Consider the following 27,919-nt stretch of genomic DNA (forward strand, 5'->3'; position numbering starts at 1 on the left):
AGGAGCACCCAGATTCATAAAGCAAGTCCTGAGTGACCTACAAAGAGACTTAGACTCCCACACATTAATAATGGGAGACTTTAACACCCCACTGTCAACATTAGACAGATCAACGAGACAGAAAGTCAACAAGGATACCCAGGAATTGAACTCAGCTCTGCACCAAGCGGACCTAATAGACATCTACAGAACTCTCCACCCCAAATCAACAGAATATACATTTTTTTCAGCACCACACCACACATATTCCAAAATTGACCACATAATTGGAAGTAAAGCTCTCCTCAGCAAATGTAAAAGAACAGAAATTATAACAAACTATCTCTCAGACCACAGTGCAATCAAACTAGAACTCAGGACTAAGAAACTCACTCAAAACTGCTCAACTACATGGAAACTGAACAACCTGCACCTGAATGACTACTGGGTACATAATGAAATGAAGGCAGAAATAAAGATGTTCTTTGAAACCAACGAGAACAAAGACACAACATACCAGAATCTCTGGGATGCATTCAAAGCAGTGTGTAGAGGGAAATTTATAGCACTAAATGCCCACAAGAGAAAGCAGGAAAGATCCAAAATTGACACCCTAACATCATAATTAAAAGAACTAGAGAAGCAAGAGCAAACACATTCAAAGGCTAGCAGAAGGCAAGAGATAACCAAAATCAGAGCAGAACTGAAGGAAATAGAGACACAAAAAACCCTTGAAAAAACTAATGAATCCAGGAGCTGGTTTTTTGAAAGGATCAACAAAATAGATAGACCGCTAGCAAGACTAATAAAGAAAAAAAGAGAGAAGAATCAAATAGACGCAATAAAAAATGATAAAGGGGATATCACCACCGATCCCACAGAAATACAAACTACCATCAGAGAATACTACAAACACCTCTACGCAAATAAACTAGAAAATCTAGAAGAAATGGATAAATTCCTCGACACATACACTCTCCCAAGACTAAACCAGGAAGAAGTTGAATCTCTGAATAGACCAATAACAGGATCTGAAGTTATGGCAATAATCAATAGCTTACCAACCAAAAAGAGTCCAGGACCAGATGGATTCACAGCCGAATTCTACCAGAGGTACAAGGAGGAACTGGTACCATTCCTTCTGAAACTATTCCAATCAGTAGAAAAAGACGGAATCCTCCCTAACTCATTTTATGAGGCCAGCATCATTCTAATACCAAAGCCAGGCAGAGACACAACCAAAAAAGAGAATTTTAGACCAATATCCTTGATGAACATTGATGCAAAAATCCTCAATAAAATATTGGCAAAACGAATCCAGCAGCACATCAAAAAGCTTATCCACCATGATCAGCTGGGCTTCATCCCTGGGATGCAAGGCTGGTTCAATATACGCAAATCAATAAATGTAATCCAGCATATAAACAGAGCCAAAGACAAAAACCACATGATTATCTCAATAGATGCAGAAAAGGCCTTCGACAAAATTCAACAACACTTCACGCTAAAAACTCTCAATAAATTAGGTATTGATGGGACGTATCTCAAAATAATAAGAGCTATCTATGACAAACCCACAGCCAATATCATACTGAATGGGCAAAAACTGGAAGCATTCCCTTTGAAAACAGGCACAGGACAGGGATGCCCTCTCTCACCACTCCTAGCTCTTTAGTTTAATTAGTGGGTGCAGCGCACCAGCATGGCACATGTACACATATGTAACTAACCTGCACAATGTGCACATGTACCCTAAAACTTAAACTATAATAAAAATAAAAATAAAAAATAAAAAATAGAAAATAAAAATAAAAAAAAAAACAAACCTGCACATGTACCACCGAACTTAAAAGTTTTAAAAAATTTAGTGTAATCCTAGCAAGTATGGAAGGAGAAACCAGATGCTGAAGCTATGGGATACAATAGGGGGGAAATGTAAATTTTGACTCATACAAATGTACTGTTGAATCCAGGCTTCAGCAATTTTAAAGTTATGAAACAGAAATGCGCCTAAATGGCAAAATATATCTGCCTCATGTGGCTACTGTACAGGTATGTGAAGTGATTCAGGCAAAGAACCTGTGTAGTATTTATAAAAATATTAGTTTTTTCCCCTAATAATTGTAAAGAATGTATATCTTCCAATTCATACTTTCTAAATATAGTATTGCTAAGTATATATAAGCATACTGATCTGAAAACCTCACCCTTAAATCTTTAATACAGCTGGTGTAATACTTACAAAATGCTTACTTCAGTCATGCAGGCATATTAAGATTCTTTGCACTGTTATTTAAATGATTGGTAGGCTTTGAAGACAGATTTCACTTCATTTAAAAGATTTCAGTCTCACAGGCTCTGCTGCTCACCCCCAGGGCATCCTTTCCCCATGGCTGATTGATTCATTACACTGTTGTTACAGTTCATTAAAAGAATGAGGGATGCTGATAATTCAGCAGATGCAATTCGCTGGCCTCTGTATGAGTCACCTACCACTGTGAGTTTTGCCCTGTGAAACAGGACAGCATAATGTGGGAGAGTAAAGAAAAAAATGGTCTTTGCTTGAAGCCCTCATGTTTGGTTTAATACATCTTTTGTAAATCAAATCAGAAAAACATCCCCCCAAATTTTAAGTTTTGTTTGTTTGGGTTTTTGGGTAATATTTTTGACACGACTGTTTTACAGCAAGAGATAGTCACTATGACCCAGTGTAAGATTATTTTTCTGACAACACTGATCTCTATAGCAGTAGCAACAGTGGAATTTTACTACCAAGAAAAGATCTTATATAAAGTAAGTGATGTAACATGGCAATATCATATAGAGAAAATTGTCAGCTGACAGGTGATTACTTAGTGTGTGCTAGACAGTATGTTAAGTACTCAAAATTTAATGGTAAACATGTCAGACATAGGATGTGAAAGAAGGATAGTAGGTACTGTAGAGTGTTGCATTATCGGTCTTGCTACCAGTTAATGATAAAGGGTAAAGATAGACTTGCTAGGAGGATTCGCATACTAAATACACAAGATTTGTCTGATTAGACTAGGAGGGTAAACTATTCTTTGGTGTGGTCTATGGAATCAAGGTGAGGGGGGAATTTCTGTCATTCCTATCAGTCAGAGTTGGACCCATGGGGAGAAGATTTTATTTTTATTCTGGGTTCCATCATCTGGTCCATTTGGAGGAACTTAGGATGTCAGATTTGATAATCTGTGGTGTACTGTTTCATCTAAATCCAGAACATATGAGAAAAGCCTGAACCTGTGTAGCCCTTTGGCCAGCTGCTTGATCATAGAAAAGGGGACGGTGTGGTACCCTCAACGTTTGTAATTTAAGAGTTTTTCTGTGAAGTAAGAGAGGAGAGCAGCACCTACAGAATGAAGATGACAGTCAAGGGAAAATTAGGAGATGACTAACGTTTGTTTCCAACAGAATGCCAGAAACTTTATGCAGACAGCAGTGTAAAATCTGTCAAAGAGTAATTAATCAGTTAATGTTTGCTAATTAATGAGTGATTGAATTAATGAATAAGCATCATGTGCTAGACAATTGCTTTGTGAGACATAAAAGATAGGAAAGTGGAGATGAAAAGGACAAATAAAGACTAAACACATAATATATTTTGCTATAAATAATGCTCTATTTCAGTTTGTTGGAGAGCTGCAATTTATACTGCCACAACTTAATTTTGAAAAAAATAATTCTTAAATACTGAGAAGAACTATGGAGAATTCTAATGAAAAAAAAATTCATTAACATACTAAAATAGAAAGCAATCAATCATTGGCTAACTCAGCTGAAATAAAAGAGAAATTGAATATTTGCATACTGTTCACTTTAATAAAGAAAGTTTACATAATTTATCTCTCCTAATTCTTTTTCATTCTTAGCTATCAAATCGGTCTTTTACAAACTACTTACATGAAGACAAAAGTGCTGACTGCATATTTTCAGAATTTCAGTCACCATCAACTTCTCCTGTCCGTCAAACATGCAGGAACAAAGTACAAAAGTATTTAATATTAAATTATTATCTTTGGTATCCTAATTAATTACCTAAATGATTTTAGAAGTGTGTACAGCTTCCCAAACAAGAAAGCTTTTCAAAAATATATTTTAAGGCTTTTTTCATTATTGTGTTACTGGAAAGGGGGTCTGATCCAGACCCCAAGAGAGGGTTCTTGAATGTTGTGTAAGAAAGGATTTGAGGCAAGTCCATAGAGTAAGGTGAAAGCAAGTTTATTAGGAAAGCAAAGGGATAAAAGAATGACTACTCCATAGACAGAGCAGCCTCAAGGGCTGCTGGTTGTCCACTTTTGTGGTTTTTTAAAAATTATGTGCTAAACAAGGGGTGGATTATTCATGCCTCCCCTTTTTAGACCATATTGAGTAACTTCCTGGCATTGCCATGGCATTTGTAACCTGTCATGGCGCTGGTGGGAATGTAGCAGTGAGGATGACCAGAGGCCACACTCATCGCCATCTTGGTTTTGGTGGGTTTTAGACAGCCTCTTTACCGAAACCTGTTTAACAGCAAGGTCTTTATGACCTGTATCTTATGCTGACCTCCTATCTCATCCTGTGACTTAGAATGCCTAACCATCTGGGAATGCAGCCCAGTAGGTTTCAACCTCATTTTACCCAGCTTCTATTCAAGATGGAGTTGCTCTGGTTGAAATGCCTCTGACAATTGTATTCTGAGAATCTTTATTTTCAAAACTGTGTATAGCAGAGATTTTTATGCAGTCTGGCAAGATTATGTAGACTGTAGTAAAGTTTGTTGCATGGGCTCAATATACCATGTAACAAAAGCTTTATTCTGGCACTGTCCAAGTCAGAATTTTATATCCCAGAAATATAGTACTTTATCATACTATAATGGTCAGGAATTTTCTTTTATCTGGTTCACAAATTATGTGTTCCTTTTATGGAAATTTATATATATATGTATTGTGTGTGTGTGTATATATATATGTGTGTGTGTGTGTGTGTGTGTGTGTGTATATAATCTCCAGCATGCATTATACAACCTCAATTTTCTCATCAGTAAAATGGGTCAGATAGATAATAATCAGATGCTCAACTTACTATAGGATTATGTCCCCAACTATTTAAAAATATTTTCAGTTTACAATGGTTTTATACTGACATAACCCCATCTTAAGTTACTGAGCTGCTGAATGTTTATCGCTTTTGTACAATAAGAAATCCAAAGAATCTTCAATTGAAGCATCATAAATCGGGGACCATCTGTGTAGTTAACTTGCTAGTCTTTGCCATACGAAAATTCCTTAAACACACAAATGATTGCATGACTTAATAAATCTGAATTTTTAATTACTTCCTAATTTACATAGAAAATAGTTTAACCACTACAGCTATCAATTCTAAATCACCCAGGGTAGAATCCAGGGCATTCCATAATAATGCAGAGATTATAGGAAATATAGCTTCTGATGGGTAGTGTATTACTTGGGCATGAGGATGCAATGGCAATTAGGGATGAGAAGAAACTTTTCATTCAAAAATTAAAATGGCTTTTATCATTATGAAGACATGTATTATTTAGAAAATGAAAAGTCCAGGCTGCTGTAGAAACTGAAATTTCCCTTGCATTTGTATACCTTTCTTTTACATAGGAGATCTGTAGTTTTGTATGTAGAGTCACCAGGCTTCTCTAGTTTCACTTGGGCATATGCAAAACCTCTTAGATCTCTAGTCCTTCAAGCACTGCCTGAGATCCATTGTTATACTTGTCACATTAAGAGCCTCATGATCAGATTTTGCCTTGTGCTTAACTGTAATGCATAATGTTAGAGATGCTGATAACAAAAGTCCTGTGTTACTAAGTACGCAGTGAAGAAGAGTGACTCACAGGGCTTAGCATAATGTTTACCTTTCCCTCACTAGAAAAAAATATTTTATAATCTTGATGAAATAAATATCACATGGAACAATCAGGTAATCTTGACCACATTTATTGTGCTTTTGTTTTGAGCCTATAGTTTCACCAACAGACCATTTCAAAATCAATTCCAATTTTACAAAATTTGGTTTTAAAATATATTACTCCCCTGGGCCAAATTTTAATTTAAGTTTTCTAGTGAGTTATGTACTTGAGGCCTTTGCAGGCTGCTCTGTGTATTTAGAGCATAAGAATTCATGAGACAACCTCAGCATTCTCATTAGAAACAGCATGTCCAAAATCATTACTGTATCTGCAGGCTCCTTAGCTAATAGACACAGAAATCTAATGCAGACCTAGTAATATATTTCAGTTGTCCTTGTTGGTCTATATACCTTCTCAAAAAGAAAACCCATATATTTTGATGAGGATAAATTATAATTCTTTTTCCCAAGTCAGTTTTGTCTCTAATGAGCTTGAACCGGCAATGGTGTTATGCAATCAGCACATCAAAACTAATGATGGTTTATGTGTGAGACACAAAAGCTTAAAATCAGTTACCTACGAGTTTTATAATTGTTGCCAAAAGTCTACAGGTCTGTGTTCCATTTAAAAAAAATACTTCCTAAACTAAAAGAAACAGAAGCCTGATACAAAAATAATGTATACAGAATAATTTCATTTATATAAAGATCCAAAATAGACATGACTGATCTTGAATGTTAGAAGTCAGGTTAGTAGTTAATTACACTTAGGAAGAAAAAAAAAGACTAATAATTGTGAGCAGACAGAAAAGGAGCTTATGAGATGATGATAATATTTCATTTCTTTACCTGAATAAAGTTATGTGTAGATGTTCATATTGCAGACTTAGGATTTGTGCACTTTTCTGTGTGTATGTTATCAGCAATAAAAATGCTTTGAAACTTGTAAGCTGTATGATAATTCCATAAAGTTGAAATCAATTGTCAGAGGATTTCTTAACTGCTACCATTGTGTCTACATCTCAGTCTTCTCTTTGTATAAAGAAAAAAACAAAAACAAAATATAGCCTTGCCCATTTAGGGGCACAGAATGAGTTTATGAGAATACTAATAGTTATGTCTTTGTTCCAAGAAGATTATTTCTGCAAAATTGTTATTATTATCCATTTTATCTATACAATTCCAAAAGAAGCTAGTAAATGAAAAATTCTTTATAAGCTCCCAAAGGGATTATTTTAAACTATCCTCTCCTATGTTCATTAACAATTGAATATATATGGCTTTTCAACTCATGGGCTAGAATAAAAATAACAGCTTATTTATGATAGTTAAGACAATGAGAATGGATGAAACTGCCTAGAGAGAGAGAGAGAGAGCATAAAGTGAGAACAAAATTTGTTCTATAACACAATTGTGAGAAATGTCAAGATTTGAAAAGCAGATGGGGGAAGACAATACAGTAGAAAATAGTGAAGAGCAACAGTTATCTGAGTAGGTAAACCATAGCAATGTGTCATCAGAGTCCGCTGATGATAGATCTAAGCAGAGGGGAGATTGAAAGTCTAAAATGAGGCAAGTGCAGAGTCAACAAAAAAAGTTGCTGTCCTTAAGCATGTGTAAAAGCTAAAAGAAAGAAGGTAGTAAAGGTAAAGTTAAAAATCCATGTGAAAATGGAAACCGAGAATCCAGGGGTAAGAAATTTACTTTAATCAAAGTTATAACTTATCTAATAGTTACTAAATGCTACATCTTCTAGTTATATTGTCTGGTATGATTTTACCTTGATACTAGGAGAAAGAATTTAATCACTGTTTTACTGATTACTGTACAAAAACATCATCCTTAGGGCAATTAGAATGATCTGTGAAGCTACTCACACATCTACCATACCATCACTCCGTGCTAATTTATCTCCTATTGATCATGGAAAGTTTCCAGGAATCTTTTAATTTTATTCTGGTCTATGTTTTAGCATGATATTTTTAGAATACCTGTTATTTTTCTCATGTGTTGGTGTTTTTGTTAAGTAGGTTTTGGCTAAGATCAGTACCTGGTTTTATGCCTCACAAAACTAAAATATATATGAAAATTATGCAAATTAAATATTTTATTAAAGCATTTCAGAATAAACTCCTTTGTTTATAATTATAAACGCTTTCATTGTAATTGATTTCACAGTAACAAGTAAATACAACTTAAAACATCGAACAGGTAAAAACAGAATTTTAAGAATCTTCCAACAAGCAAAGATTCTAACGTTATATGCATTGATTTGATTAGTCATATTCATGAAGATCAATTAATATAACAAGGGAGAAAGGCACATTTACAAAGGAGGCACTTTAGTCCATATGCTTCAAAATGGAAACAGACAGTATCTTCAGGAGGACTGTTTCAAGGATTCTAAATACAGAACAAGATTTAATTTTTGTAAATGCTTAGATTCTAATTTTATCTAAAATATTATTTTAAACGACTATAATTTTGAAACTTCTTGTCCTTCTGGAGCTGAATCAATAGCCTTTTCTTCCCCTATCTGTAATGTGTAGGGACTTTATTTTTAAGGGTATGGGCAGAATTTTATTTGTATGAACTGAATTAGAAAGTGCAGGGGCTAAATAAAAATCCACTTCTAAGAACTGAGAGAGAAAGTGCAGAAGCTAATACTAATATACGGTATAATTGATTTTTAAGAAAGGAATATAAAGTCTATAATGGTTCCTTTTGTATTAATTATGTCACATTGTACGTTCAAATTATTTAATATCTTTCTTTTCCTAAGGTCCTTAGAATGTTAAACAGGTCTTTTATGGTTTATATTCTTAATGCTTTCAGCCTCATCTCTCATCAGGCCCTTTTGAACTCTATGCTTAGGCTGTACCAAACTATCTGCAGTTTTCCAAATGTCCCAGACCATTTCAAATCTCTATACATTTGCATATTTAAAGCCTGTATAAATATGAGCTTCTTCTTGTACCTGAAATGCCTTCTCTCCTTATCTACTTAGTCATCAATCACGTTAAACCTATTCTTTAGAGCCCTTTCTGAAATCTCTCTCCTTACACAAAATTGCCTCCTCTCTCCATTGTGCCCCAAGCAGATACTGATGCAGATTTCAAACTCGGTGTCTTTTATGTTCTATCACATTTGCTTAAGCCTCCTGCACTTGTAGTATCTTGAGTACTTTGAAGACAAGGATCATGACTGAGACACCTTAGCATCTCTCATATCTCTAGCACCTTGTATAGTGCTGAATACCATTAAACATATATGTGGAATAAAGAAGCGAGAAATAGACTTACTCAAATATGTTATATTAAGTGCTTTTTGACAAAGATACAAAACCAATTCAATGGAGAGAATATAGCCTATTCAACAAGTGGTGCTGGGGCAATTGGACTTGTATAGGCAAACAAACAAACAAACAAAAACAAAAAACAACCAGAATCCGAATGGAAACCTTACAACATATATAAAATTTAACTCCAAATGGATCATAGACTTACATAAAAATATAAATGTCATCAGGGAAATGCAAATGAAAATTACAACAAAATGTCGCTACACACTCATGAGAATGACAAAAATAATTTTAAAAGGGACAATACCACATACTGGCAAGAATGCAGAGAAACAGTATCACTCATAGATTGCTGATGGGAATGTAAATTTGTACAGACATTCTGGAAAACAGTTGGGCAGTTTCTCATATAAATAAATATGAAACTACCATAAGACTCAGCAATTGTATTCTTTGACATTTTCCCCAGAGGGGTGAAACTTGTTTACAAGTTTTCATAGCAGCTTTATTCATAATAACCCGAAACTGGAAAACCCACTTGTCCCTCAGTAGGTGAAAGGTTAAACAAACTGTAATGCATATGCACTATGGAATACTACAAAGAAATAAAAAGAAATGAGCTATTGATATGTATAACAACTTGGATGACTACGGGGAATTATGCTGTGTGAAGAAGGCCAATTATAACATCGTGGTGGATACAGGAACACATACATGTGATACAACCGTATAGAATACACACACACAATGACAACTGAAACTGGGAAAATCTGAATAAGATCAGATGACATTATCAATGTCAATATCCTAGTTGTACTACAGTTTTGCAAAAACTCAAAAAGGGTACATGGTGTCTTTCTGTGGTATTCTTATAATCGTATATGAATCTACAATTATCTCAATAAAATTGTCATTAAAAATATTAGTTGAATAACTTTCCTGGTTTTCTTCACACAAATATCCAGGAATTTAAGTATACTTTACAGGAGGAATAGGGAAAAGTATAGTTAGTACACCTCCCTGGAAGTGGAAAAATAAAGAAATTAACTTTTAGCTCTTCTAATTGGAGAAAGAAGCTTCTACCAAGAAAAATCAAAGGACAATATAATAAAATTCACAGAACTTATTAGATTAACCAAAAAAGAGTGTGTGTGTGTGTGTGTGTGTGTGCGCGTGTGTGTGTGTGTACAGTATTTGGGAGAATTCAAGTATTGACAAGTTTTTAAAACAATTTACCTGGTTATCTCATCAGATTTAGTAGATGGGTTCCTGAAAACATTAGTTGGGGGAAAAAAGCTGCAATTTTTTTAAGTAAAAACAGAATATTAATTACAAAAACTTTGTTCATATTTTATTTTATAATTCACACAATTCATAATTAATAATTCATAATTTAATTATAAAAGTTTATTTTGTAGTAATGAGAATATTTGGAATAATTGGATAATAATGGTAAAAAATCTTTTTTAAAAATTGTAACAAGCACATCAAATTTCCTCCTACACATTATAATTAAACTACAATATTAACCTTGTCCAAGGAAGGTTATATTTAGCCTAACACTTAACTGAATACATTTATGTAAAATTGTAAAAATACACTGTTTTACATATTCAAAGATTTCAGATGCATGTGTTTTAAATCAGTGAATATATTTTTGCCACAGGTACATTAGAATGTATCACTTAGAAAAAATTTGAAAAAACCATTATCTATGCTAATTGTTTCAGAAGGGGAATGTAATATATAAGTGGTTATACCCTTGAATTTCATATCTTTTTAAAGAATAAAAGTTATGATAAATTTGCATTGATTTTCACTGCAGACAAATACAACAAAGAATTTTCAAAAGCACTCTGTGGGATACTAATACAGATGTGTAAGTGCAAGATATCTAAGGGCCTTTTTTTTTTCTCCTCTAAAAGGATCCAGGTAGTTGTAGCCAACGCAGCTCTTTTTATTCAATATGATAATTTTAAAAATCTATATGACAGAGATTTCATTTTATCATTAAAGTAACAAAAGAAGGGAGCTTTAAAGATATATTTTAAATGCTTTTCTTTTATTTATTTGTGCATAATTTTTATGTTAGAGTTCCTGTTATTATTTTATAAAGCATCATTGTTGCCCTCAAGTAAATCTCAGAAAGATGTGTACGCTACCATATTCTGCAAGAGGGAGAGCTTCCTGGTGTGAGGGCTCTAAAATTTTGACTGTAGTTTAATTGAGTAAAGAAATATGAAGCTTTCCTCACAAAAAGTATATTTCATATTTTTACTATAAAATGCATAACCATGATTAAAATAATAATGTCGAAGGCCAGGAATGGAAGAGAAAATCAAATCAAAGCATGTGGGCTGAAGACCTGGAAGCCTAAATCAGGATGCCAAATCAGGAGCAGGCAATGGAAATCAGGACTTCGGATGCCTAAGAAAACAAGGCCTAGCATATCCTACAAGTAGTAGGAAATCTGCATGGCTTTTTTTTTTCTTCCTGTTACCAGGAAGCAACAAGCTGGTAGTGTCATTACAAAGGCGCCCACCAACCTATTCAGCCTATCCAGTGTGCAGCCAGATGCAAGGTACATAAAACCTAAAGACGGAAGTAGTGAGGATAGTCAATTTGCTCAGAATCTGCTTTACGCTTTCCCCAATCTCAGGAACCACGTGTATTATCTATCCAGGAGCCTGAAACTCCAAGATATTAATACAATATCAGTTCTGTTGTATATACTGAGCAGCCTAATACAGGGATGAAAAGAGAAGGAAAAATAAATTTTCAAGAAAGCTGAGCACAGTAAAAGTTACGAAATATCAGTGTAAATGTCATGAGAGGACCAACAAGCACTAAAGCCAAATCACCCACAGATTTGTGCATAAGAATTTAAAACAACAGAACCATGTTCCAAAGGTTTAAATACGTACACTTAAAATTATCAAAGATGAACAAAGGAGTAACACTCATAAAGTAATTAAAAGAAGTACCATGAACTGTGGGATATAAAAAGATCTACAGTTAACCCTTGAACAATGCAGGGGTTAGGGTGACTGACCCTTGTAGTTGAAAATCCACGTGTAACTTTTGACTCCCCTACGATGTAACTACTGATAAAAGACAAACTTCAGCTGAGTTAAATTTAAAGGCGTTTAATTGCGCACTGAACGATTCCAATCCAGCAGCACCCAGAATCACAGCAGATTCAATAAAGTAAATGAGATCACAGGGGCAATTAATGAACTGATGACCAGAAGTGAGGAATCACCCAAAGCAAAGAACAGAGCATTAGAGAGCTGAAATTTATGAAATTTTATGTTTAGTAAGAAAGTCCAAATCACCCTGTTTAAATATTCCATTTATTTTGTACAAGATCCATGATGAATAGTGTCCAAAAGTCCATCCTTAACACAGTTGTCCATAATCTTTTTAAGCCTGACATTGTACTTCTCTGATCAAAGCACTACAGTTTCACCCCAATAAAAAGCAAAGTTATAACATTCTATAATATCCATAAGATTGAGTAATCTCCCTTACCTTTTTGACTTCATCTTATACTTCTTTCCGTATACTTATCAAGCTCAAACCACTTTGGACTTCCTACCTCGGGATACTTTTTCCCAACAAGCTACATAGCTCATTTACTGCTTCAAGTCTTCCCTCAAATGTCATCCTTCTCCTAATTCCTTCAGTGACTACACTGCTTAAAGTGATAACCCACTCCTTTCCCATGCTTCACATTTCCAATCCCCTTCATCCTATGTATTATTTTTTGCAAGCACGTATAAACTGTGCTGGGTTACATTATCCTTTAAATGTTTTTAAATCCCCCTGCCTCCATGTGAGTATATGCTTTTCTGCCCTTGACTTTGTGTGTGGTAATATGAGAATTATTTCAGAATAAGCATGTATTTGGGACCATGTGATATGCTTCGGCCAATAGATGATGTTAACAGATGGAATTAAGCAGAAGTTTTAAATTTTTTGCACAGTGGAGCTTGTCTTTAGCTGCTGTGCAATCTCCATCCCAAGAATATGTACCTGAGAGCTTGTTGGTTTCAGGACCGTGGGAGACATGAGGAATGGATCTGGATGCGACTTGCAGATTGAAGCCAATCCCAGCTGAGCATAATGCAAATCAGTTGTCCCTCAGCTAACTCATGCACATAAACGAATTCAGGTGAGAGCATCAGAACCCCCGTTTAGACTCATAGACACATCAGAAGCAAAGGTTTAGTGTTGCCTGAGATTTGAGGATTAGGTATAATTATTGTGATGTCAGGTAACTTTACATCATATTTTACATATTATTATGTATTTTAGGTATTATTGATCTCACTTACCAGGATGCCTACACTACAAAGGCAGGATTTTTGGTTTTTTCATTTTGTTATAAATTGTGTATTCCAAGGACTTAGAATGGATGAAACATGAGACACTGTAGTTTCTCAGAAAATATTTGTTGATTTTTGTTGTTGTTGTTTCCTCTTTCATTTGTTTCTTACTTTTTTTTTTTTTTAATAGTGTCTCTCTATGTTGCCTAGGCTGGACTTGAGCTCCTGAGCTCAAGCAATCCTTCCACCTTAGTCTCCTGAGTAGCCAGAACTACAGGTATGCTACTGTATCTGACTTTGTTTTAAAGGGTTGGTTAATGGGTACAAAATACAGGTAGGTAGAAGAAGTAAGTCTAGTGTTCAGTAGCACAAGAGGGTGACTATAATTAATTATAATTTTTGTATATTTCTAAATAACTTCAAGAGTGAAACTGTAATGTTTCTAACACAAAGAAATGATAAATGTTTAAGGTGACAGATATCCCAATTACTCTAATTTGGTCATTACACATTGTATGCTTACATCAAAATATCACATATGCCCTATACATACGTACAAATATTATGTATCCATAAAAATTACCAATTAATTTCTTAAATTTGTTATATGTATTAAAGATTATTTGAATGTCTGTATCCCGTCATATTAAATTATTCTAAGATGAGTATTTAATATAAAAAATAGATTCTATTTTTAAATTCTACCAATAAGCCATTTGAAATTTAAATCTAAAATTTAAAATTGTATCAAACATTACGATAATTAGGTATATATATATATAAAACAAAATGTGTCCAAAATGTATATACTAAATACTGAAAATAATCTAGGTAATTTTAAATCTATCTTTTTTTTAATTATACTTTAAGTTTTAGGTTACTGTGCACAACGTGCAGGTTAGTTACATATGTATACTAAATTTATCTTAAATAAATTTTTAATATAGAGATTTTGAGCAACTTTTATCAAATTTAGCCCAAGGATATGTTGTTTTTGAGGTTACTGGAATGTTATTGTTTTAATAATGTTTATATTCTGCATATTGCTTATATGTGGGGATATAATATTTTTTCTATTTTGAGTTTGTATACAGCGAACATACATTTAATTCAAATTAACAGTCCATAATTGCTTTGAATTTGGGGGGCAAATACATTGTTTTATATCTTTATTTCTAATGATCTACATTATTTTTCCCTAACATCATTCTGTCTACAATCTTCAGTATGATGTCAAACAAGAGAATTATTATTTTTAGGCCTAATTTTCTCCTTTCATATATTAATGAGAAGGTTTCAGTAATTCAGCATTAAGTCCAGTGTTTGCTGTAAATTCTTTGTAGATAATGTTTATCATGTTAAAGTTGATCTTTTATCATTCTAATTGGCTAAGGGCTTAAAATGAATGTATTGAACTTTATCAAATGCTTTCTCTGTCTCTTCATGTGGTCATATGATATTTTTTTTCTCTAAAATGTTGAGTTACAGTATTAAAACATCTATTATAGAACATACTTGCATTTCTGTAATAAAATCCTTCTGTCATAATAATTATATGTATGTATGTACACATGTACACATATGATCTTCATATAATAAAATTGTTGGCTGAATTAATTTACTGTTATTTTTTAGAACTTTTGCATCTATGTTTATTAGTGCAATTTGCTTGTAAATTTTTTTTGTGAGGGTTAGGTTTCTAGATCACGCTGACTTCATAGAATAACTTGGAGAGGTTTTATTTCCCTGTCTGTGTGTGTGCGTTTTCCTTTTTTTTTCTTTTTTTTGAGAGAAGGGGAAGTCTTTACAGTATTTCTTTCTGAAATTTTAAAGAATTTTATCACAAAATGCATTTTGGCCTTGAGTTTTCTGTGCCGGGTTATTTTTTAAAATCATCTTTATGAAGATATAATTTACATATAATAAAATAGACCCATTTTAATTATGCATTTAATGACTTTTGGACAAATGTATACACCTATTTTATCACCACAAAATTAATGTATACAATATTTCCGTCAGCCTAAAAATGTTTCTCTCCATCCCTTGCCATATGATGAACAAAACAAGCCAGTTGCCAATGAACAGATACAGTATAAACCCATTCATTGGAAATTCCCAAATAGTCAAAACATAATCAAGTATCAGGAAAAAGTAATTTAATGGTTGCCTGGGTCAGTGTAGAGAAATTGACTGTTATAATATTTTTAATGATGATTTCAATTTAGAAAATATCCCCAACTACCCAATGCTAAAAAAGAACACCAAATAAAATTTGACTATATTTTTAATGAACAACTTTCATGTTTATATTATACATACAATGTGAGTATGGTTACATAAATTATTAGATACCTGAGTTTTGTTTCAAGCACTGTACTAGGCCCTCTATGACATTATCACTCTTACTTCTCAAAGTAATTATACAAGATTCATGGTATGATTTTCCCAATAATGCCTGTAATGTAACTGAGGGTCGTTTAAATATCTTCTGTTAGATCATCCATCTGGTAAGTTGCAGGACAGTGACTAACACATAAGACTATGCTATTTATTATAATTTTACATGTTTACAGTAAAGTCATATCGTATTTGTTTGTTCTCATGCTACTAATGAAGACGTACCCAAGACTGGGTAATTTATAAATAAAAGAGGTTTAATGGACTCACAGTTCCATATGGCTGGGGAAACCCTCACAATCATGGTGGAAGATGAAGGAAGAGCAAAGGGACTTCTTACATGGCGGCGGGTAAGAGAGCATGTGCAGGGGATCTCCCCTTTATAAAACCATCAGCTCTCATAAGGCTTATTCACTATCCCGAGAATAGCATGGGAAAAACCTACCCCCCATGATTCAATTACCTCCCACTGGGCCCCCCTCCCATGACCCATGGGAATTATGGGAGCTACAATTCAAGATGAGATTTGGGTGGGGACACAGCCAAACCATATTATCCTGCACCTGGCCCCTCAAAAATCTAATATCCTCACATTTCAAAACCAATCATGCCTTCCCAATAGTCCCTCAAAGTCTCAATTCATTTCAGCATTAACCCAAAAGTCTAGAGTCCAAAGTCTCATCTGTGACAAGACAAATCCTTTCCACTTATGAGCCTGTAAAATCAAAAGCAAGTTAGTTACTTCCTAGACACAATGGGGATTCAGGCATTGGGTAAATACAGCCATTCCGAATGGGAGAAATTGGCCAAAACAAAGGGGCTACAGGCCCCATGCAAGTCTGGAAACCAGTGGGGCAGTCAAATCTTAAAGCTCCAAAATGATCTCCTTTGACTCCACATCTCACATCCATTGTGTGCTGATGCAAGAGGTGGGCTCCCACGGTCTTGGGCAGCTCCACCCCTGTGGTTTGCAGGGTACAGCACCTCACCTGTCTGCTTTCAATGGTGGTCATCTTCTTACAGCTCCACTAGGCAGTGCTCCAGTTGGAACTCTGTGTGGGGACTCTGACCCAACCACATTTTTCTTCTGCACTGCCCTGGCAGAGGTTCTCCATGAGAACTCTGCTTCTGCAGCAGACTTCTGCCTGGACATCCAGGCATTTCCATACACCCTCTGAAATCTAGGTGGAGGTCCCCAAACCTCAATTCTTGACTTCTGTGCACCCACAGGTTCAACACCACATGGAAGCTGCCAAGACTAGGGGCTTGCACCCTTTAAATCCATGGCTCAAGCTGTACCTTGGCCCCTTTTAGCCATGACTGGAGTGGCTGAGATGCAGGGCACCAAGTCCCTAGGCTGCACACAGCAAGGGGGCTCTGGACCTGGCCCAAGAAACCATTTTTACCTCTTAGGTGTCCAGACTCATGAAGGGAGGGGCTGCTGTGAAAATTTCTGACGTATCCTGGAGACATGTTCCCCATTTTCTTGGTGATTACATTTGGCTCCTTGTTACTTATGCAAATTTCTGCAGTTGGCTTGCATTTCTCCCTAGAAAATGGGTTTTTCTTTTCTATTGCATTTTTAGGCTGCAAATTTTCCAAACTTTTACCCTCTGCTTCCTCTTGAATTATTTTCCACTTAGAAATTTCTTCCGCCAATACCCTACCTCTCTCAAGTTCAGAGTTCCATAGATCTCTAGGGCAGGGCCAAAATGATGCCAGTCTCTTTGTATAGCAAGAGTGATATTTACTCCAGTTCCCGAAAAACTCCTCATCTCCATCTGAGACCACCTCAGCCTGAATTTTATTGTTCATATCACTATCAGCATTTTGGTCAAAGCCGTTCAATAAGTCTCTAGGAAGTTCCAAACTTTCCCACATCTTCCTGTTTTCTGTGTCCTCCAAGTCTCTAGGAAGTTCCAAAGTTTCCCACATTTTCCTGTCTTCTTCTGAGCCCTCTAAACTGTTCCAACCTCTGCCTGTTACCAGGTTCCAAAGTTGCTCCCACATTTTCGGGTGTCTTTACAGCAGTGCTCCACTACACGGTACAAATTTACTATATTAGTTCATTCTCATGCTGCTAATAAAGACACACCCAAGACTCAGTGATTTCTAAAGGAAAGAGGTTTAGTGGGCTCACAGTTCCACATGCCTGAGTAAGCCTCACAATCATGGTGGAAGATGAAGGAAGAGCAAAGTCACTTCTTACATGGCAAGGGGCAAGAGAGCTTGTGCAGGGGAACTCCCCTTTATAAAACCATCAGATCTTGTGAGACTTATTCACTATCACAAGAAGAGCATGAGAAAAGCCTGCCCTCATGATTCAATTACCACCCACCAGGTCCCTCCCACAACATGTGGGGATTATGGGAGCAACAATTCAAGATGAGATTTGGGTGGGGACATGGCCAAACCATATCACATATAAAGGTATGTATTATCTCTTGATAGCATCTGTCAGCATTTCTCTTTGAGTAGGGTCCATTTTGTCCAGGAATATATTCTCATTAGATAATTCCATTGACTTTCTAGAGTGAGCATCTAAGAATATGTACTAAATTACAAGACAAATGTCATGTGTGAATTCATGTCTGTGTGTGCATGATAAAGAGTGGGAGAAAAACAAGAGAGAGTAAAAAAGAAGGAAGGAGAAGCAGAACACTAGAGGGAATGGAAAGATGCTAAGAGGGAAGTATTTACACCATTCTGAGGCATGGTATAGGACTAGGACCCAAACTTGGACAGGGATCTGTGAGCTGGCAGCAAGGCTATGGCCAGGCTAACAGATTAAGTCTGTCTGGCTTATTCCTCTCTGCCTTCTCATAGCAGTAACTGGTTAATAACTTGATCTAATGAACAATGCCTGTACAGAAGGAAATTGTAGCTATTATTGTAGAAATTCTTCTAACCTGACCCAGGCAAGTGGCTCAAGGCAGGCACCCGGGAAAGGTCCCTGGCCATGCTGATAACTCAAAACATATGCCTGACTTAGCAACTGAATTCATTGGAATTTAATTACTCAACATGATTGTATACTGACAGCAAACTCATTATTGGAAGGATTGATTATTACTATGCAAACATTTTTATTATTCATTTATTGAAAACTTGGGCATACTTCCCAGACTAGAATTGCATCTTCCACTTCTTTTCACTTCATTACCTTTTTAGTTGAATATGTTTAACTTTCCGAGGTGGTTATTTTGACTCATGTCATACTTTAATATAATTAAGCCATTAAAACTTATTCAGGAAACTGATGTTTTCTCAAATTAAAAAAAAAAATAAGCACTGTGATATAAAACACAGGATAGTCCTGTCAGTTCTTCTCTGACAACTCAGCTCAGTCATTTGCTTTTTGGCTCAAAGATCTTTATACGAACTGGCTTGTTATCTTATTTCTTAAGGCAGACTCGAAAGGCAGTAATTTGGTATAATAAATTAGCTGTTAAAATGTGAGGCATAGGCCTTGATATAAAAATTTAGTGAGTAAATGAGGAGGTGATTGAAATGGCTGTAGGTTGCCTTATTTATCTAGTGTTTTAAGCTTGAGATGGCATTGACCTTATTACTCATTTTCTTTTTTTTTTTTTTTTTTGAGATGGAGTCTTGCTCTGTTGCCCTGGCTGGAGTGCAGTGGCACGATCTCTGCTCACTGCAAGCTCCGCCTCCTGGGTTCATGCCATTCTCCTGCCTCAGCCTCCCGAGTAGCTGTCTCTACAGGCGCCCGCCACCATGCCCGGCTAATTTTCTGTATTTTTAGTAGAGACGGGGTTTCTCCGTGTTAGCCAGGATGGTCTCGATCTCCACCTCATGATCCGCCCACCTCGGTCTCCCAAAGTGCTGGGATTACAGGGGTGAGCCACTGCTCCCGGCCACTCATTTTCTTAAAATAATAGTCTTTGCCTTCAAGAAAACATCAATAAGTGCCTTCAAACAAAAATCCATTAAACTCTCATAAACATTTCGTATCATTTTATGTTTTCATGAATATATGCAGAAAAAAATTTCTTTTACTATTAAATTGCTGCACAAATAATTGCAGTTTTTCCCAATTTTTTAGGCAAAACCAGCTATTATTTTTGCACCAGCCTAATAATAAACTTCTTATTTAAGCATCATTCATTCCTAACAGTGAGTTCACAATGCAAGTTTCAGGCAGGTATTTTAGTTGAAAAGTAAGGTGTCTTCAAATAATATAAAAAAGATTGATTCTCCACCATTCCATAGATCACTGTCTGTTTTTTGCACACCTATGGTTCAGGAGGATATTTGGAAAGTTTAAAATTCTTGGAGTTTGATGAACACTTAAGATTCATGGATGATTAAATCTTTCTTTATCTTACATATCTCTGTATTATCATTTTTGAGGAGTCACCACTCCCTGGACAAGCCTGGATGGTGATTTTGGAACTTGATTCTAAAGATATTTCAGATTTCAATATTTCAACAGCATTGGAAGCTATTGTGATAAAATAGTTCATGCCTCTTACATGTTTACTTTTTATGAAAAGTAACAAGGACATTGTGTTTTCCAATCAGGATAGGAGAAACAAAATAAATAAACAAACACCATATATAGTTGTGGAGGTGCAAGCTTGAAACGCCTTTGATTCTTAGAGATCCTTTCATGTTTATTTCAGAGAAACTTGCAAACTGTGAATGTTATTTAAGCTAAATCCAAAAAAATAGTTTGGATTCTGGCATATATAAAACAGCCCCTCAGAATATTCCTTTCTTTTTCCAATATCACTCCGAAGCCTGATAGAGATTGAACATTGGTAAGAAGACATATCACAACCCTGAAATGATGCAATTTAAAATATAGTTATCAGATTTGTAGAAATCTACTGTCGGGACCTCAGCCTATAAGATAGACTATAGAAAGGTATACACACACTTGTGGAAGACGAATATAGCCTAAAAGAGAGACAGAGAAAAAAGGGCAGATGCAATAACTGAAAATAGCTTCTGCAAAAATGACAAAAAAAATATGAAGCCACAACTACAAAAGTTCTATGAACCACATGGGGAGAAAAAAAATGAAAAAACAAATCTCCATTTAGTTACATAAAAGTAAAATTACTGAAAAATAAAGGGTTTAACTTAAAACATGGTCATAGAAAACAGACAAACCTATAGAGACACATAATAGGGTATTCCTAAAAACGAGGAGGGCAGGCTTTGGGTAATGGAGAGTGACTGTAAGTGGATATAGGAATTTTCTTACCAGGGGACAAAAGTCTTTGAAAATTACATTGTGGTAATGTTCACACAATCCTTGGAAAATACTAAATCATTGTATTAAATGCTTTAAAATGTTGAACTGTGTGGATGGTATGGGAATTGTATCTCCGCACCCGGCCATATCTCAAGAACTCTTAAAATTTGTAACAGAAACAGTAGAAGCTTAATTCACAATGACCAAGGGGGTGTTACCATAAACACATTGACACACACATATACACACACACACCACAAACACACACACACATACCTTTTTTCTTTCTCTCTCTCTCTTTTTTTTTTTTTTTTTTTTTTTTTGAGACAGAGTCTCACTCTATCACCCACGGTGGAATGCAGTGGTGATCTCGGCTCACTGCAACCTTCCTCTCCTGGGTTCAAGCAATTCTCCTAACTCAGCCTCCCAAGTAGCTGGGAATACAGGTGTGTACCACCTCACTAGGCTAATTTTTGTATTTTTAGTAGAGACGGGGTTTGTCCATGTTGGCCAGGCTGGTCTCGAACTCCAGACCTCAGGCGAATCACGCACCTTGGCTTCCCAAAGTGCTGGGATTACAGGCATGAGCCACCATGCCCAGTCTGCTATTTGTTTTTTAATGGTTAAATTTTTTAAAATATACACATCTGCAAACAGTTGCCAGGTTGACAACTATCACAAATATGTTTGCAGGCATTTCCATATGCCAAAAGCGATTTGCTTAAAAACAAAGGTGCTGGAGCAGCAGTGATAACAACATCTTATATTGCTAACAATGATATAGATCTTTGATATTAAAGCAAGGGGGTGAAGACAATTCACGGGAAACAAAGGAAGACATTACGTATTCCCATAGCAATACACAATGAGATAAGAACAGGTGGAAGGAAATATTAGAGTGAATAAAGGAAGGGAAGAAAGAAATAAAACAAAACACAGAGTGAAGAAAGTCAACTTTTACTGGCATGGTACTAATATGTCACTATGTAGTAGCAGTGTCAAGGATAGGTGAAACACTTCCAACACCTGCATTAAGTTAAGGCCCTGCTAAGCAAGTTGAAATGTAAAACTACAAGGTCCTCAGAGTATTGTGAGCATGTTTATGGTGCATTAGCACCACATTGTTTAGCACAGGTGTTCCAGTAATTGTGGAATACTGGGAAAATGCACAGCGTTCCATTCATCTTCATCATATCCCAAGGTGATACAACAATAGCAATTTAGCACCTGCTAGAGCAATTTGGCATCTGTGGTATTTACCAAAGTGTTTGATCTTAAAGGTTGGAAGTGTTATTTTGTACTTCCATACGTGCTGGGGAATTATCAAGCACTTGGCAATACCAAATGCATTGTAAAACTCTTAGTGAAAGTTATAAAAGCAAACTTAATGAAATGTAGTGAATAAAAATTTTATAAAAGTGGCAGATTAGATTATTTTTACACGCCTTCTCTCCATCAAGAAGAGCATTTTCTCTGACCACCAGGGAGAACTTGCTTGACAATATAACTTAAATGTTTACAAAGAAAGAAACGACGTGGAATATAATTGTCCTAATATTTTCTGAAATGGACTTTTTAACTGTGCTGCTGACTGCAGAGCATCAAATATATTAGGATAAATAGTTCTTTCTCTTCTATATTTCAAACTGATTTTGAAATATGAGCAAGTTAGCAATTGCCAAGAAAAGATAACCAAATGTTTCTCATCTGAAAAAAAAAAGTTGGACATAGATGGTAGATAAAGCTAGCTAGCTTGCCAGATAGATAGATAGATAGATAGATAGATAGATAGATAGATATCAATGAAATGTCTTTGTCTTAAAATCTTACTAACATGGGAACAAGGCCATTGAGAAGTAGACCCATTAAGGAACAAACAAGGAATGAAAGGTTCTACATTTTTTTCACAAACTGTTTAAGATGACTGTGATGGTTAATACTGAGTGTCAACTTGATTGGATTCAGGGATACAAAGTATTGATCATAGGTGTGTCTGTGTGGGTGTTGCCAAAAGAGATTAATATTTGAGTCAGTGTGCTGGGGAAGGCAGATCCACCCTTAATCAGGTGGGTACAATATAATCAGTTTCCAGTGAATATAAATCAGGCAGAAAAATGTGAAAAGGAGAGACAGGCCTTCCTGCCCTCGAACATAGGACACCAAGTTCTTCAGTTTTGGGACTCAGACTGGCTCTCCTTGCTCCTCAGCTTGCAGACAGCCTATTGTGGGACCTTGTGATCATGTAAGTTAATACTTAATAAACTCCCCTTTATACATATATACACACACACACATATATATATATACATATATATATACACACACACATATATATATACACATATATATATCCTATTAATTCTGTCTAAAAGAACCCCGACTAATACAATGACTAATCTAATATTTGGCATAGAGAGTCTTAGATTTAAAATATCTCCTATGGATATAGACAGTAAAATCTAAGTATAGAAAATAGAGAAAAAATTAAGAAAATTATTCTAAAGGAAGAATTAGAAAAAAATTAAATATTAGAAAACACTGGTAAGATAAATAAAAATGTGAATCAGGCATATTTTATATCCAGCAGTTCCTGGTAACATTTTAACGAAAAGATGATAATGTATTTATATGCTTTTCTCTACCTTAAAACAACAATAATGCTTCATTTTTATATTTTTACAGATTTAGGAAATATAAGCACAATTTTGTTATATGGATATACTGGGTACTAGTGAAGTCTGGGCTTGTAGTTTAACACCTAAATAGTGTACATTGTACCTATTAGGTAATTTCTCATCCTTCACTCCTCTCCCACTCTTCTACCTTTTGAGGTCTCCAATGTTCATAATTCCACATAATGTATACACATTATTTAGCTCCCCCTTATAAGTGATATAATGTAACATTTGACTTTGTTTTTGAGTTATATCACTTAAGATAATAGCTTCCAGTTCCATCCATGTTTCTGCAAAAGACATGATATTATTATTTTTATGGCTGACTAGTATTTTATATATATGTGTGTGTATATATATAAAATAAAATATGTATATATATTATATAGATAATAAAAAATATATATTATATATAATATTTTCTTTATCCAATCATCTGTTGGTGGACACTTAGGTTGATTCCATATGTTTGTTACTGTGAATAGTGCTGTGATAAATATACAAATGCAAATATCTTTTTGATATAATAATTTCTTTCCCTTTGGATAGATATCCAGTGGTAGGATTGTTGGATCAAATGCTGGTTCTACTTTAAATTCTTTGAGAAATCTCCATACTGTTTTTCATAAGGTTTATACTAATTTACATTACCACCAACAGTGTAAAAGTTTTCCCATTTTTCTGCATTCTTGCCAATATCTGTTTTTTTTGTTTTGTTTTTTTTGTTTTTTTTTTTTGAGTAATAACCACTTTGTCAGATGTAAGGTTGTATCTCATTACACTTAATTTGCATTTCTCTGGTGATTAGTGATGGTGAACATTTTTTCATATGCCTCTTTGCCTTTTGATTGCCATTTGTATGTCTTCTTTCGAAAAATCTCTCTCCATGTCTTTTACTCACTTTTTATTGGGGTTGTTTTACTCTTGTTGAGTTTTGTTTGAGTTCCTTGTAAATTCTCGATATTAGTCCTTTGTTGGATACATAGCTTGCAAGTATTTTCTCCCATTCTGTAGGTTGTCTATTCACTCTGTTAAAACACAATAGTTTAGAGCAATTATGTGCCAAATTCATGACTTGTCTAGCAATTACTGCTTCTCCCCCCAGAAAGAATTGAAGAACACTATCAAGGGAAAATACCCTCCACATTGTATTCAAGATTAAGATATAGTTGTTGTTTGATAAATATTTGTAAAACAAGCTTGTTTCTTGAAAATTATATAGATGTTGAAGGTATAATAGGTACATCTGTTTTTGTCAGAGGTACAGGAAAATGCTCTAGAACTTTTAAAACTGAATACACCAAACAACATGTTCAGTAAATATTAAGCAAAATTTGTCAGAAATACAAAGAATTCTTAACTAAAAAATACTTATGCTAGAACATGTCAACTCCCTGTATGAGAGAGTAAACAGTCTTTATCAGGCTCATGGAAAATTTATTTAAAATGTTAAAAGTATATCTAAGAAAAATATAAACATATTTAATAAAGATATACATACAGACAGCAGTCTCTGATTGTAATGTTATTCCTGTTTAATCTTTTGGTCAAAGTGTAAATCAAAACCCAAAACTTTATACTACTGGAAAAGTAATGAAAAAGGAGAACTAATTCTGTTGGGCATAGTAAAAGCTATCCTCAGAGGAACATTTATAGCCATAACATTTCCATTATTAAAGGCATGTATAAGTAAATAAATAAATGTAAGTTATATTAATTTTTCTGGATAATGTGCTATAGATTATATGATAATATTCCCAATTTCTTTGACCTTTACAACAATTTTGTATATTTGAGTAGATAGCAAGATGCATCAGCAGAAGACCAAAATGAGCTACTGAAAATTGACACGTAATCAACCACAAAACAAAGTGATTATCTTAAAGGATAAAGAGAATGTGAACCACAAACATCTGAGATAGGTTTGAGTCAATTTAGGAAGTTTATGTTGCCAAAGTTAAGGACGCATGCCCATGGCAGCCTCAGGAAGTTCTGATGACATATGCCCAAGGTAGTTGGGTCACAGCTTGGTTTTACACATTTTAGGGAGACATGAGACATCAATCAATCAATATATGTAAGATAAACGTTGGTTTGGTCCGGAAAGGCAGGACAACTCAAGCAAAGGCGGGACAGCTGGAGGCTGGGAGGGGACTATCAGGTCATTGGTACATAAAAAACAAACAGTTGTATTCTTTTGAGTTTCTGATTAGCCTTTCCAAAGGAGGCAATCAGATATGCTGCTGTCTCAGTGAGCAGAGAGATGACTTTGAATAGAATGGGAAGCAGGTTTGCCCTAAGCAGTTCTCAGTTTGACTTTTCCCTTTAGCTTACGGATTTTGGTGTCCCAATATTGATTTTCCTTTCACAAGGGATACTATATAATAAAAAGAGGCCAACTTATGAAAAGACAAACCATTTCTAAATATAGCCACGTTTAGCAGGAGTGATAGAAAGCTCTTAGCAATCTAAAAACAGAAGCAGTGATGTGCTAGAACTAGCCCAAGACAGTTGATTGTTAAATTGTTAGATATTTCAATTAATGTAACAATGAAAGCTTTGTATAGCGTTCATTGGGAATATTTACACCGTGAAACTCATAAATGCCACAAACCAGTATCTCATCTCTATTCCCAGACAACTGGTTGTTAAATATTCACATCACTCAATAAAAGGGAACACACTCAACCCAATAAAAGGGAACACACTCAGTCCAATAAAAGGCATCTACGAAAATCTGCAGCTATCATTATAAGAAATTATCAAAAGCTCGTCTTTCAAAATTAGGGAAAAACGTATACTCAAGACACCTTGGTATTGATATAAATATAGACTTATAGATCACATAGAACAAAGCAGTTACTTCAAAATGGATTACTGACAACAACACTGAATCTGACAGAAAATAAAGTCTTTAAGCAGTGGTGTTGGAACAAATGGATGTCCATATGTTACAAAAATGAATACAATGAAACACAATGCTCATCTTATTCTGAAAACAAAAAGTAACTTGAAATAAGACTTATAGAAAATTATAGAACACTCAATATTGGTTCAAGGTGACAAAAAGTAGACCTGTGGTATGCTGTTTCTAGGGACAGAAGGGGATTTACTGCAAAGGGACATGAGGAACGTTTTTATGCTGGTCACAAATTTTTGTAATTTGGATAGTAAGTTGGTTACATGATTGTTTAAAATGATCAATGAGACTATACAATTGCTGTGAGTGTATTTTATGGTATGTAATTTAGACCTTATGAAAATTGAGTTTTTAAATTATCAAGGAAGACCTTTTTTTCTGGTTATGATTAAATAATTTGTGACAGACCAACCTTTCCTCTAAATATCTAAACATCCATACACAAAAAGTACATTTTATGATTTCATTCTTTTAATACTCTAGAAAAAGACAAAACTATAGTGACAGAGAGCAGATCAGAGATTGCCTGGTGTCAAGCATATTAGTGAAGACATTGCCTAGGAAGGAGTGCAAGAAAACAAGACAAACATATGACTAAAAAAAAAAAAAATTGAAATGTTGACCATGGGTTTGTTATAGATGGCTTTTATTACTTTGATCTATGTTCCTTTTTTGCCTAGTTGTTGGGTGTTTTGTTTTTTGTGTGAAAGTATGCTGGATTTTTTCAAAAGCTTTTTCTGCATGTATCAAGATAATTATATGACTTTTGTTTTTAATTTTGTTTATGTGATGAATCATATTTATTGATTTGCACTTGTTGAACCATCTTTGCATTCCTGGAATGAGACCCACTTGATTATGGCATATTACCTTGGTGATGTGCAGTTGGATTCAGTTGGCTAGTATTTTATTGAGCATTTTTGCATCTCTGCTCATCAGGAATATTGGTCTGCAGGTCTGTAGTTCTTTTTTAATTTTGTCGTTGTCTGGCTTAGGTATCAGGGTGATACTGCCTTCGTAGAATGAGTTAGGAAGTACTCCCTCCTTGATTTTTTGGAAGAGCTTTAGGATGATTGATACCAGTTCTTTGTATGTTTTGTAGAATTTGGCTGTGAATTCATCTGGTCCTAGGCTCTTTTTATTACTATTATTATCACTGATTCAATCTTACTACTTAGAAATAACAATTGATATTTCTTCCTG

The 27,919-nt window shown here is 34.9% G+C and overlaps 1 long non-coding RNA gene across 1 annotated transcript in view, besides 1 other annotated feature; it reads right to left on the reverse strand.

The window, feature by feature from the left end:
- Positions 1-27,919, reverse strand: part of LINC01492 (long intergenic non-protein coding RNA 1492) — a 184,506-nt gene that overhangs the window by 99,299 nt on the left and 57,288 nt on the right. The window contains exon 6 of the long non-coding RNA NR_121578.1: positions 24,698-24,824. This is a non-coding gene — a long non-coding RNA (long intergenic non-protein coding RNA 1492). The remainder of the gene's footprint in view (positions 1-24,697; positions 24,825-27,919) is intronic.
- Positions 25,738-26,287: an enhancer, noted in NCBI's record as "NANOG hESC enhancer chr9:106027846-106028395 (GRCh37/hg19 assembly coordinates)". NCBI's record gives its function as "activates a minimal SCP1, AML or CMV promoter by ChIP-STARR-seq in naive H9 embryonic stem cells {active_cell/tissue: H9 hESC(naive)}" and the evidence as "EXISTENCE:reporter gene assay evidence [ECO:0000049][PMID:30033119]".

This window comes from Homo sapiens, chromosome 9 (genome assembly GCF_000001405.40).
Source record: "Homo sapiens chromosome 9, GRCh38.p14 Primary Assembly".
NCBI classification, from domain to species: domain Eukaryota; kingdom Metazoa; phylum Chordata; class Mammalia; order Primates; family Hominidae; genus Homo; species Homo sapiens.